Source organism: Homo sapiens, chromosome 6 (genome assembly GCF_000001405.40).
Source record: "Homo sapiens chromosome 6, GRCh38.p14 Primary Assembly".
In the NCBI taxonomy this organism is placed as follows: domain Eukaryota; kingdom Metazoa; phylum Chordata; class Mammalia; order Primates; family Hominidae; genus Homo; species Homo sapiens.
Window position 1 is genome coordinate 160,088,731 of NC_000006.12, and position 13,298 is coordinate 160,102,028.

Sequence of the window (13,298 nt, forward strand, 5' to 3'; positions counted from 1 at the left end):
AATCTAGGAGCAAATTTTCCAGGTTTTGAATGTTGCACGGTTTACAAATTTTAAAAAATTTATATTGAATGCTTGCCTGCTTTGTCACATTACTGATGTGTGCACCACAGTCATCTTCCCTGTCCATTGTGGTGATGAAAAGAAGTGAGTAAAATAACCACCCTCGCTCCGAGCTGCCGTCAGTGTTGAGTCGGGAAATTCTGCCTAGGCCTGCGCAGCCCGGGGAGTGGGGGCCTCGGGACCCAACTGAAGTCTCGCAGCACCTTGACTGAAAGCCAGTGAGCTGCTTCAAGGGCTCCGCAGTGTTCATTGTTTTGCAGTCTTCCCTTATGTCTGGCTGGGGAAGTGACTGTAGCCTGTGCTTCCCTCCTCCTAGGTTTGATATCGACAGCTGCACTTACTACTTCAGCTGGGACTCCCGGGCTGCCTGCGCCGTGAAGCCTCAGGAGGTGCAGATGGTGAATGGGACCATCACCAACCCTATAAATGGCAAGAGCTTCAGCCTCGGAGATATTTATTTTAAGTAAGTAAAACGTTTTCCTTCTGAGCTGTGAAATGTGTTCAAAATTAAACCAGCAATGCCGCTCTTTCCCTATCGGGGAGCACTGCAGGATAAATAGGTCTGTGTTTTAGTTACTGTTGCTGGAGTCATCGTCATCTTTTGCTTAAACTGAGGAAAAGCGTTACTCAATCATTAAGTTTTAACACCAAAGATGGTGAATTCTCATGAGTGTAAAAATAAATCCCCCGTCCTTCTCCCTCTCTTCATGATAATCTCAGGGGTTGAAGCCGAAGCCTTCTGACATGTTTGAGCAGGAATCTTCTGGGCTTACCAGTGTTTAGAAAATAAGTTTCTCAGCAGTGTTACTGGGGCTGCTCTTGGGGGTGGTGGCCGAGGTGCACAGACAGGGCGAGGGCCGTGTGGTGCTGGATACGGCACCTGAGGAAGGTGGATTAGCACTCAGAGGCCAGAACTGGTTGGGGAGAAAGCCTCTTGAGAGGGAAACTGGTGTCCTCAGAATTGCTGTGGGGTCACAGACGTGCTGCCCTAGCGTGTCCGTGCTTCCTTTCCCTAGGAAAGGAAGCATCCTGGGGCCCTGCAGTGATTCTGAGGACTGAGGGTTTATGTCATGAATGCCTTCTTGAAGGACTTCCATGTCACTGTGATCTTTTCTGTCTCTTCAGGCTGTTCAGAGCCTCTGGGGACATGAGGACCAATGGGGACAACTACCTGTATGAGATCCAACTTTCCTCCATCACAAGCTCCAGAAACCCGGCGTGCTCTGGAGCCAACATATGCCAGGTGAAGCCCAACGATCAGCACTTCAGTCGGAAAGTTGGAACCTCTGACAAGACCAAGTACTACCTTCAAGGTAATCCGTGGCTTCCCACAAAGTTCCACATTTAACTTCCTCCAAGGAAGGGGATTAAAATTTTCAACTAACTCCCTTCAGTTGAAATCTCGGACCACTTTTAAAACAAAAACCTTGGTCTAATTCTTTACTTTGTTATGAATTTCTTGACAGTGGATTGAGCGATACGTGTCAGAACTAAGCATTTCACTGTAGGCAAATTGTGTCTTAGTTATCAAGTAAATGTACAAAAAAACTAAAACCTGGTCTGATCCAGTGGTTCTGAGGTTGGGTGGAGGCTGAGCTGTGCACAGTCAGAATTGCCTTTGATTTGGTTTTAACCATGACACTTCCTTATTTTGGAATGCCAAATAATATTAGAGAAGGGTAAGAGATTTTATATTTGTAAGAAGGATGAAAGGAAACTGGCCTAAATGTTAGGATGTAGGTTAAAATCAACCAGGACGCACATAGGGCAGAGTCCAGGGTGTGAAGGAAGGTTTTAAACTGGCACTAATAAGGGTGTTGCCCTTTGTTCCCTCACATAATCGTGAAAGGCTGCTTTTGTTTTGAACAGCTAGTCTTAACTATATACCTTTCATAATTTGATTTTTGAACCGTGTGTGGATGTAATAACTCTTTAAAAAAAAATGAAGTGTGTTTAAAGAAAACCCCAGCCTGCTCTGATGTCAAAGAGCTGCCGATCATGTCCTCTGGGAGGGGAGAGTAGTGATAGCTGAGAAGGAGCAGGTGCTCTGTGCCCTGGTGCTGAGCACATTGCCGAGAAGGAGCAGGTGCTCCGTGCCCTGGTGCTGAGCTCATCGCCGAGAAGGAGCAGGTGCTCCGTGCCCTGGTGCTGAGCGCATCGCCGAGAAGGAGCGGGTGCTCTGTGCCCTGGTGCTGAGCGCATCGCTGAGAAGGAGCGGGTGCTCTGTGCCCTGGTGCTGAGCGCATCGCTGAGAAGGAGCGGGTGCTCTGTGCCCTGGTGCGGCTGAGAAGGAGCGGGTGCTCCGTGCCCTGGTGCTGAGCACATCGCCGAGAAGGAGCAGGTGCTCCGTGCCCTGGTGCTGAGCACATCGCCGAGAAGGAGCAGGTGCTCCGTGCCCTGGTGCTGAGCGCATCGCCGAGAAGGAGCAGGTGCTCCGTGCCCTGGTGCTGAGCGCATCGCCGAGAAGGAGCAGGTGCTCCGTGCCCTGGTGCTGAGCGCATCGCCGAGAAGGAGCAGGTGCTCCGTGCCCTGGTGCTGAGCGCATCGCCGAGAAGGAGCAGGTGCTCTGTGCCCTGGTGCTGAGCGCATCGCCGAGAAGGAGCAGGTGCTCCGTGCCCTGGTGCTGAGTGCATCTCCACGACGGCAGCACCTGATGGAGGGAAGCTGGGTCAGCATCGCTGCTCCTGGTCACAGATTGTAGACAGCGCCCTGGTGCATCTGCTCATAGCACCTGTGGCCCCTGAATAGAACTGGGAAAGTGAATGTTCTGCTTTCTGGGTGAGTTGATGATGGGAAAGTTGATCAGCCTCATTCACTTGCATAACTCCACAGCACGGAGCTAGCACTCTGTGTTTCTCTGTTCTCTGCCTTCCTCACACTTCGGTGAATCCTTCAGTCATTCAGAATCAGATGTTGCATGTCACAGGTTGTGCCTTCTCTTGCTGTCCTCTTTCCCAGTGCTCGGTAAATCTTGATTAAAGGAAGGAAGGAAGGATTGTTTCAGAAGCCTTCAGGGGCCCTATCATGCAGAGAAGGAAAGTCTAGGCTCTCTCTGACACAGCTTGAAGATGTCTGAGAGGCTCCCATGTACCAGGGTAGCCTTGCAAGCTGCTGCTCCTACACATGCCTCAGCCATCAGGTTATTCACTAGTTCCCAAAGTCACCCTGTAACCTGGTGGGTTTACATATGCTGCTCTTGGTGCTGGAATGCCTTGGCCCACCTTCCTCATCCTTCCAAACCTACTTCTAGTGCCCCTCCTGGGAAGGCCCACCTTCTCATAGCAGGGTGACACCGCTGGTGTGTCTGCAGGATTCCAAACCTACCTCCAGTGCCCCTCCTGGGAAGGCCCACCTTCTCATAGCAGGGTGACACCGCTGGTGTGTCTGCAGGATTCCAAACCTACCTCCAGTGCCCCTCCTGGGAAGGCCCACCTTCTCATAGCAGGGTGACACCGCTGGTGTGTCTGCAGGATTCCAAACCTACCTCCAGTGCCCCTCCTGGGAAGGCCCACCTTCTCATAGCAGGTGATACTGCTGGTGTGTCTGCAGGAGTCTTCACGCTCCATCGCGCAGCACTGGCCACTTGTCTGGTTACACATAAGACCTCCACGTTCACAAGTGGTATGTCTAGCAGACCTTTGAGGATCCCCAGCTTTCAGAGTGCTTGTGCATGCGCATTTAGTCATTCTTGGTAAATAAAATCCCTTTCAGACCTTTTCACTTTCTTCATTCACCAGCCCCAGGAAGTAGCTTTAGTTTTAAGACATCTTTTCATCTTTCATGAAGAAATGAAGTTTCTATCTCTTCCTGAGGCTTGCCATTCCTTCGGGAGGGCAGAGCTGTCTCTCATCAGGACGTGGAGCTGCTGGGCGGTTTGCTTCCCCACATCAGCCCTGTGGAACAGTCCATTCAGCAGCCCCTGCTTCAGCTACTCCCAAGCGAGAATGTGGGGCCCTCCCGGAGCGGAGCCGCACCGCCTGTCTCTGGGCCCCATCTGTGTGTGGACATGTCCGTCTCCTACCCTGCACTCTCGCCTCTGCATTCCTGGCACCCAGCAGCACCAGCCACAAAGATTTTCAGCCAGTGACAAAGGTTGGGAGCAGCAGAGTTCATGCAAGGAGTCCACACAAGGGTTCCTCACTTCTGACAGCAACAGCACACTGAAGGGGTTCCCAAGCCAACTTCAGATTTACCCTTTCACCATAACTCACAGAGCTCCCTGGAAGCAGTTACACTTATAGTTATGATTTACTGCAGCAAAAAGATACAGGTTAAAATCAACCAAGATGCACACAGGGCAGAGTCCAGGAGGGAATTGAATGCAGAGTTCCCACCAGCTCTCCCGTGGAATCAGATGTGTTGTGTTCCCAGCACCCACGTGTGGCAGTGCACATGGAGTATCATCAGCCGGAGGTGCTTCCCCAAGCCTTGGTGTCCAGAGTTTTTCCCGGGGCTCTGACATGGGCAGGATTGGTCCATTGATCACTCAGGTACTGCATGGCCAGCCCCTGCTCCGTATCCTGTCATTAGCCAAGGAGCAAGGCCAGCCCTCTTTTTGGGCAAGGTTAAATTCTTGCCTTCCCTCTTGTTGCCGTTGCTTCTGTTCCTGGAGGAGCTCCTGGCACAGTGATGGGGTCTCAGGCCTCCACCTTACTGCACGATGAAGAGTTTGAGGAGATCAAGAAGGAGACTGGCTTTTCCCACAGTCAAATCACACGTCTGTACAGCCGGTTCAGCAACCTGGACAAAGGAGAGAACAGGACGATTTCCAGGGGATTCCAGAACTTGCCATCAACCCAGTGGGGGACTGGATCATCAATGCCTTCCTTCCAGAGGGAGAGGACCAGGTAAACTTCCGTGGATTCCTGCAAACTCTGGCTCATTTCCAAACCATTGAGGATAATGAAAAGAGCAAAGTTGTGAATGGACCTGAACCACTCAACAGCCGAAGCAACAAACTGCAGTTTGCTTTTCGACTATATGATTTGGATAAAGATAACAAGATCTCTCGTGATGAGCTGTTAAGGGTGCTGTGCATGATGGTCCAAATAAATATCTCAGATAAGCAGCTGGGCAGTATCGCAGACAGGACCATTCAGGAGGCTGATCAGCATGGGGACAGTGCCATATCTTTATCACAGACTTTGCTAAGGTTTTGGAGAAGGTGGATGTAGAACAGAAAATGAGCATCTGATTTCTTCACTAAAGGACAGACAGCAAACTATTCCTTGCAGTCTAGTATTTAAGTACTGGAACTTGACAGTCCTCCTGTCCACCAGCCCTACCTCCACCCCATCATTCCCCTTCTCCCAAAGTACTACTGCTGTTGCATAACAACCCCAAATATGTTCTGTCAACACAAACCTGCTTTTGGTCTATAAACAGGGCGTTACAGAATGGTACACCCAGTCTATTTCTTCTCAGTATCCATTCGCCAGTTCTTCATTTATAAATATCGTCTTCCTCTGTTCTGCTGCTGAATGCCACACATCCATCCAGTCTGAGAAAGTAAGATAGGGAATCCTGCCGAGGAACAAGCCAGCAAAGCTCTTTCACTGGATGTAGACTGCACCTGCTGCCTTCCCTCTGGCGAGTCTGCCAGCATGCTTCTCCATCCTTTTTATATGTCCTTTGCTTCCCACTTCTGTGTACATTCAACATACTGTTCACGTAGTCATGCAGTCTTTCTGCTTTTTGTGAAGCCTCAGAATCTCCTCTGTTCTACTTGGCACCCCAAGCTATGCCTGGTATTGTATTTCTGACTTGGCTCGATAGTTCGGTGGTCTGGCAGTTTTTATCTACCTTCATTATTAAAAGGCCCTCTGGAGCTGGGCGTGGTGGCTCACGCCTGTAATCCCAGCACTGTGGGAGGCTGAGGTGGGCAGATCACGAGGTCAGGAGATCGAGACCATCCTGGCTAACACGGTGAAACCCCGTCTTTACTAAAAATACAAAAAATTAGCCGGGCGTGGTGGCGGGTGCCTGTAGTCCCAGCTACTCGGGAGGCTGAGGCAGGAGAATGGCGTGAACCTGGGAGGCAGAGCTTGCAGTGAGCCAAGATCGTGCCACTACACTCCAGCCTGGGCGACAGAGCGAGACTCCATCTCAAAAAAAAAAAAAAAAAAAGGCCCTCTGGGATGTTGCCTCTCCAGGAGCTTTTTGGTAACCAACACTTCTCTCGGGAGTATGAGATCATCCTCTGCACTCTTCTCTGTCATCAAAGGGCTGCTGGGTGGAGATATTCTTGAAAGGTGGCCTTGGTGAGAGGTGTGGAGTCAAGTCTTTTAGGTTGCTTGCCCACGTCACTCTACCTCTGGCCTCTGATTCTCAACTTTGTACCTATGGGGCGTCTCTTGTTAGTGCAGTGTTGACTATTCAAAAAGTAGCAATATGCCTGCAGATTTGCTTAGTCTTGGGACACGGTTACCACCAGAACGGCTGCTCAGACAATATGCTTGGGGACTTTCTCATGGCTTTTTGAACAAGGAGGCTGCGCACCCTGTGAAGCCTCCTGCATTCACACCTCTGCTGCATGGTTTATGCCTCAGTGTTATGTGCACTGGAATGCTTTTCACTATACGTTTCCAAGTTAGAAAGATTAGTGTTATGGAAGTGCCTAATGTATCCTAGTCCAAAATATTTAAAGATTGTTCTCTGTGTCTTGAAGTTTTGCACAAAATTCTTTATGAATTTTACACTTGGCAAATGTTAATGCTAGAAGCCATAGTCCGCTTCTTATACAAGTCCAAAGCGTTGACTGTTGTATCATTAGCTCCCTGGTTACACTGGTTTCCCAGCTCCTTGTGTAGACCACTGCTAATCCCTTAGAAACAAGAGGTCTGGCACTAGTAGCACAACCTAAGGTGGCATTCCAAGTCTTTAAGCAAGTCACAGCAACTTTTCTGCCAAAGTCAGCTTAGTTTAGACTTCAGTGAATCAGGCTGTTGCCATCCTAATGTATGTCTCTGTGAGTCTGTTCATTCACATATCTGCCGTTGGCTGACTTTCTTGACTCGCTGCTTGCTTGCTTGTTTCCTTGCTTTGGAAAGCTATTGAAGATGTGTACATAATTCTTTAGGAAGGGGATTGCTAAAAAATACACTGCAAAGCGATGGAAAACAGTGGAGAACAGGGGAGTAGCCAGGCTGGATGGCTCAAATATAAATGAATGAGGAATTCTTTATGAAGTGTCAGTTGGACTTTGTGATTGAGTGATGTAATACAGGAATTATATAGAAAGGGAAGAATATCTGATACTGATCTGTTAGATACTTCAGAGGCTCCTTGATTTGCATATTTAAAGTTCCTAAAATTGTAGCTTTTCCCTTCTTTTGGCTGTACAGCAGACTGTTTTAATCCACGGTTGTGCCTTATTGTTCCATTAAAATTGTGTCTTCAGTCCATCAATAAATACTCGTGGTTAAAACAAAACAAAAATTCTTTACTGCATGCTGACTAAGGGCAGGGCTCTATCCATGTGCATCGAGTGGCCTCGTAAGCTGTGAACAGAGTGCCTGTGGGACGTGGGATGAAGTCTCTTCTGCCTGATTTTAAGTCTTTGCAAACTTTTTAGACCGTAAGGAGCTAAGCTCAGTCTGCTCGTGAAAAATGATGGTGACATGCCATGTGTGCCCTTCCCGTTTGACAGACGGCGATCTCGATGTCGTGTTTGCCTCTTCCTCTAAGTGCGGAAAGGATAAGACCAAGTCTGTTTCTTCCACCATCTTCTTCCACTGTGACCCTCTGGTGGAGGACGGGATCCCCGAGTTCAGTCACGAGACTGCCGACTGCCAGTACCTCTTCTCTTGGTACACCTCAGCCGTGTGTCCTCTGGGGTGAGTATGACATCCGGAAGCTTAGCACTTGTACCCCACATCTTCCCTTAAGAATAAGTGTATGTGTGTTTTTTCCCCAATGTTTTCTTGTGAAATATTCAGAACATGCACCAAAAAATAGAGAAAATGATAGAAGCGGACCCCACATAGTCAGTGCCCCGCTCCGTTGCTTGTCAGCATCCTGCCACTGATTTTTGGTCCATGGCTGCGTCACCTCCCACCACCCCCAGCAGCAGTGCCATTGTTTCCTTTGTGTGTACCATGCCCCGAATAGGGTCCAGTCAGGGCACCCCAGCTCTGTCCCTCTACCCTGTTCCCATTGCTGCCTCCCTCTCCTTAGCTCCTGGGAGGCAAGTACTGGTGGTGCCTCCTCTGTGTAATCCTGGAACATCTTTTGTGTCGTAATACAAATGATTGTTTGGTAAAGTTTCACTTTGATTTGAGTGCAGTATTTTTACTTTGATTTGAGTGCAGTATTTTTACGTTTGTTTGAATGAATGAAAAGCTTACTCTCCAGATTTTGAGAATCAGCATGAGAACAGAGGGAGCAGTTTCTGCTCTGAAGGAAGGTGGCACCTCCATTGGTTGTCTTGTGTCCCACAGCCGTTTTATACTTTGCCACGAATAACATGTTGTCAGTTGCTTTCCTCTTGGATTTATTTTCTTCTTATGTTACCCCCACCCATCATTGTATTTATATTTATTTTTATTTTTTATTTTTTTGGGATGGACTCTTGCTCTGTCACTCAGGCTGGAGTGCAGTGGTGCGGTCTTGGCTCGTTGCAACCTCTGCCTCCTGGTTCAGACGATTCTCCTGCCTCAGCCTCCCAAGTAGCTGGGATTGCAGGCATGTGTCATTATGCCCTGCTAATTTTTGTATTTTTGGTAGAGATGGGGTTTCACCATGTTGACCAGGCTGGTCTTGAACTCCTCACCTCAGATAATCTGCCTGCCTTGGCCTCCCAAAGTGCTGGCATTACAAGCGTGAGCTGCCATGCCCGGCCTGGCCCACCATTTTACATAAGCTTTTCATTCTCTGTCCTGAGACTTTAAGATTGGGGGAACATGAATTCTTGCCATGTAATTGTTTCCTTCATGTCCTGAAAAAGGGACCGTAGAGTCAGCAGACGACAGTGGTGGGGGTCATGGGGGAATGAAGATCACACATTTTACATCTTAAATCAGCACTCCCCCTGCCCACCCTTAACAGTGGACATGAGCTCAGCAAAAACCAGCTTTGTCCTGTGCTGTTCAGGCCTGTGTACTTAGGGATCCTCAGCTGCACAGTCAGGGAAAGAGGCTTTTGGTTGAAATTTCACTTGTGGTATTTTCAGCTTTTGAATGTTTATGGTGTTCCGGTGACGTCATTACAAAATGAAAGGATTGAAACTGGAAGTTCTTCCTGAAAGAAGCAAAATGTGAATTTTTATAAAAGATAAAACCCAGAAGTGAACTTTCCCTGCATTCTCTGTCATGGAGAGGCTACAGCTGCCATGAGATGAATCCTGCCTCCTGACATGGCAGCTGGTCTTCTGTGTGGGTTTGAGGGACCAGGCCAGGCTAGGATCCCGTCCATGTTGAATGTTTAGAGTTCGACTTCTGTGAGTAGGAAAAGCACTGTTTATAGGGCTTTGGTGTTTGACTCTAAAACCAGAGAGGAAGATTCTCCAGGAAACCTCGGTTTCATGATGTTCAGAACATCAGGATTGGGAGCTGTTTAAATCCCTTAACACACTGACAAGGTAATAAGGACTTTAAAAAAAAGAAACAGAAGTTGAAACCAAGAGCAAAAACTCAGATGGTGGATTTTGAGGGATGCAGGTACCACCCGGGGGTGACGTGGAATAGTGCCTGAGATTTTTTTTTCCCCAAATGTTATCAGTGTTGTACATTGTAGAATCATGTAAATATGGCCAGACGCGGTGGCTCACGCTTGTAATCCCAACATTTTGGGAGGCTAAGGTGGGCGGATCACTTGAGGTCAGGAGTTCTAGACCAGCCTGGGCAACATGGTGAAACCCCGTCTCTACTAAAAATACAAAAATTAGCCAGGTGTGGTGGTGCACACCTGTAATCGCAGCTACTCAGAAGGCTGAGGCAGGAGAATTGCTTGAACCTGGAAGGTGGAGGTTGCAGTGAGCCGAGATGGCGTCACTGTACTGCAGCCTGGGTGACAGAGCGAGACTAGATCTCAGGAAAAAAAATCATGTAACTATAACAAACAGGTAGCAATGTTCGCCCTAATAGATTACCATTTTTAGTTCTTTTAGCTATTTCTTCTGGAATTTACCTCAGTATTTTAAATTAACATCCTATATCTCATCTGTTGACTTCCTGCAATAGTAGATGAAGATAGAGCTGTCTTACACCTTCCTCCTACTTTACAAAAATGGTTCTTTCACAATATTTGATTAAAGTCAAAAAATTTACACAAAGCTAAAAGACAGGCATCTACAGATGGAAGGGGCAGGCTATGTGCCCAGCACAGTTATTGATGACAAGACCCACCCACTTATGAAATACCAGGAGAGCAGATACAAAGAAAAGACTGTAAAAGCTTTAGGGGAGGCTAATTTGTTGTATTAGAAAATAATTCAAGAAAGGTTAAAATACTTTAAATCCTCACTTTATATCATCGATAGGTTCTTGGAAACTGCAACTTTATGTGAAATGATGTATAATGAAACCAGTTTTTTTTCCTCAGCTTTATGTTATGTTATGTTATGTTATGTTATGTTATGTTATGTTATGTTATTTTTTTGAGACAGAGTCTCGCTCTCGCCCAGGCTGGAGTGCAGTGGCGCGATCTCGGCTCACTGCAAGCTCTGCCTCCCAGGTTCACGCCATTCTCCTGCCTCAGCCTCCCAAGTAACTGGGACTACAGGGGCCCGCTACCATGCCCGGCTAATTTTTTTGTATTTTTAGTAGAGACGGGGTTTCACCGTGTTAGCCAGGTTGATCTCGATCTCCTGATCTTGTGATCCGCCTGCCTCAGCCTCCCAAAGTGCTGGGATTACAGGCGTGAGCCACCGTGCCCGGCCTCATCAACTTTATAATGAGACAGTTTTGAAGGAAATGATGTCATTCGAGGACCTCCCATAGTCGCTTCACGGAAGGTTGCAGTTTGAAGGAAACTGTCAGCGACCCTATGAGGACACACTGTACTGGACAACAGTGGTGTCTAAGCTGAGAGGGGTGGCAGAGTTCCCAGCTTTTAAAATTTCTTACAGTGATAGCATCATATGAAAGTAAAACCATTTTCTTGAAAGAAATGAAGGAAGGAAGAAAAGGTAGAGTTCCTAATTGTTTGGAAGACATACTGTTAGACTTCCTGTCTTAGTATGCATGCCAGTATTTTAAGAATAACCACTAAAATAATATAAATATAGTATGTAACTTCCAAAACAGCGGAGAAGAAAAGGAGAAGTAAAAATACTTAAATCCCCAAAGAAGACAAGCAAGGAGAAAAATAAAACAAAAATCAGATAAGTAGAAATTTCAGCCCAGTATGGTAGAAATAAATCTAAATATATCTATAATCATAAGTATAGCTTGACTAAACTTGTCAGCTAAAAAACAAGTTGTCAAACTGGATTTCAAAAACAACTCTGTTTACAGGGAACATGCCTAAAACAAGGATACAGAAAAGACCAAAGTCAAAGGAGAAGAAAAGATATACCAGAAAATAATCTGAAAGAAAGCTGCAGTAGTTATGTTAATATAAGATAAAATAGGATATTAAAGAAAAATATTAGGGATAAAGAATAAAGAGGGTCATTATAATTTTAAAAGGGCTAATTTCCTAGGAAGATACAAGAATCCTAAACTTCCATCTACCTAATAAAAAAGCCTTGATATGTAAAGCAGAAATTGACAAAACCACACACAAGAAACAAGCCTAGTGATTGCTGGGTTGAGTAGACAAAGAGTAAAGCTTTTTTTGGAAGATTGAGACAGCACAGTGAAAAGCAAGATTTAATAGACATGCGCAGAACACTGTTCCCTGCGTTGGGAGAACACTGTTTGCCCAAGCTTACATCAAACACTTAGAAAACTTTAGCAAAAATTAACCACAAAGCAGGCAAGTCAGCAATTTCCCTTTTTTTTTTTTTTTTTTTTTTTTTTTTTTTTTTTTTTTTTTTTTTTTTTTTTTTTTTTTTTTTTTTTTTTTTTTTTTTTTTTGGAGACAGAGACTTGCTCTTTTGCCCAGGCTGGAGTGCAGTGGTGCGATCTTGGCTCACTGCAACCTCTGCTTCCCAGATTCAAGTGATTCTCATGCCTCAGCCTCCTGAGTAGCTGGGATTATGGGCGTGTGCCACTACCTCCTGGCTAATTTTTGTATTTTTAGTAGAGATGGGGTTTCACCATGTTGGCCAGGCTGGTCTCAAACTCCTGACCTCAGGTGATCCACCTGCCTCAGCCTCCTAGAGTGCTGGGATTACAGGCATGAGCCACTGTGCTCGGCCTAAGTCAGCAGATTTCTGACTGATGCAATTAACTACATACATGATGCAATTAAGTTAGGAACCAAGAACAAACAACTGAAAAATAGAAATACGTTTGAAGACTAAAACTCACTTCTGAATAATCTATGGTCCAAAGAAGAAATCAAAGGTAGAAAGTAAAATACGCTTAGAACTGAGTGATGATGTGTCTCTTGGATGCATTTCGAGTGGTCCTGAGTGGCTGGAGCTGCTTCTGGGTGAGTGGGTTTCTGGCTTGGAGGGAGAGGTCTGCATAGCTCTCAGACCTGTCTGTGGAGTGTGGTGGTGCTTCTTTCTGAGCAGAGGTCAACCCTTGCAGGCCCACCTAGAACTGGACGCCAGGCTGTCCCTGTGGTTTCTTGTCTTGCTGATGTTTTAGATTGTTTGGCTTAAGCTGAACTTTGAGAGCGGCAGCCCTTGCGGCTGGGCCGCGGGTTGGCCTGTTGCCCTCAACCTCAGTTCTTTGAGCAGCCGGCATCTTCAGCAGCACAAGATGCGCCCCGCTGGGGTTGCCTCTTATCACCAGCAGCACAGGAGGAATTTCTGTTTATGTGATCCTGTTCCTGTGTGTGTGGCCCCAAGTGACAGAGGGCCAGAGAGATTAGAAGTGTCAAGTCGTTACACTCTTGAGTGTCATCTTGCTCCCTAAGCGCAAAGGGAAGTCTCCGTGGTTGTTTCTCATTTTCTATTATTGTCCCAACTCTGCTTGAGTGTTCGATGTCATGGAAACGCACTGCTTTTTCCCACAAGTGTGCATGTGGGTCTTGGGTGGGAATGGTGAACTCCGCTGGTGAGGCAGCTGGTGTGCTCAAGAGCCTTCTCCTGGGATGGAGCAGGCTTGGAGAGAGGAGACCCGTCGGGGGCTGTGCTGGGCTCTGCTGCTCCCTGGGCCCCACCCTGGTCTGTGGCCGCCCCTGGG

General features: G+C 47.0%; 1 protein-coding gene and 1 pseudogene across 2 annotated transcripts in view; both read left to right on the plus strand.

The window, feature by feature from the left end:
- The window catches only part of IGF2R (insulin like growth factor 2 receptor), a 142,423-nt gene that overhangs the window by 119,649 nt on the left and 9,476 nt on the right, over nucleotides 1-13,298 (plus strand). The window contains exons 43-45 of the mRNA NM_000876.4: nucleotides 377-523; nucleotides 1,186-1,373; nucleotides 7,709-7,895. Coding sequence (NP_000867.3) covers nucleotides 377-523; nucleotides 1,186-1,373; nucleotides 7,709-7,895 — 522 coding nt within the window. The remainder of the gene's footprint in view (nucleotides 1-376; nucleotides 524-1,185; nucleotides 1,374-7,708; nucleotides 7,896-13,298) is intronic.
- On the plus strand, nucleotides 4,352-7,482 carry CHP1P2 (CHP1 pseudogene 2; annotated as a pseudogene). Its single transcript, NR_003288.2, has one exon. The product of NR_003288.2 is annotated as a CHP1 pseudogene 2 (transcript).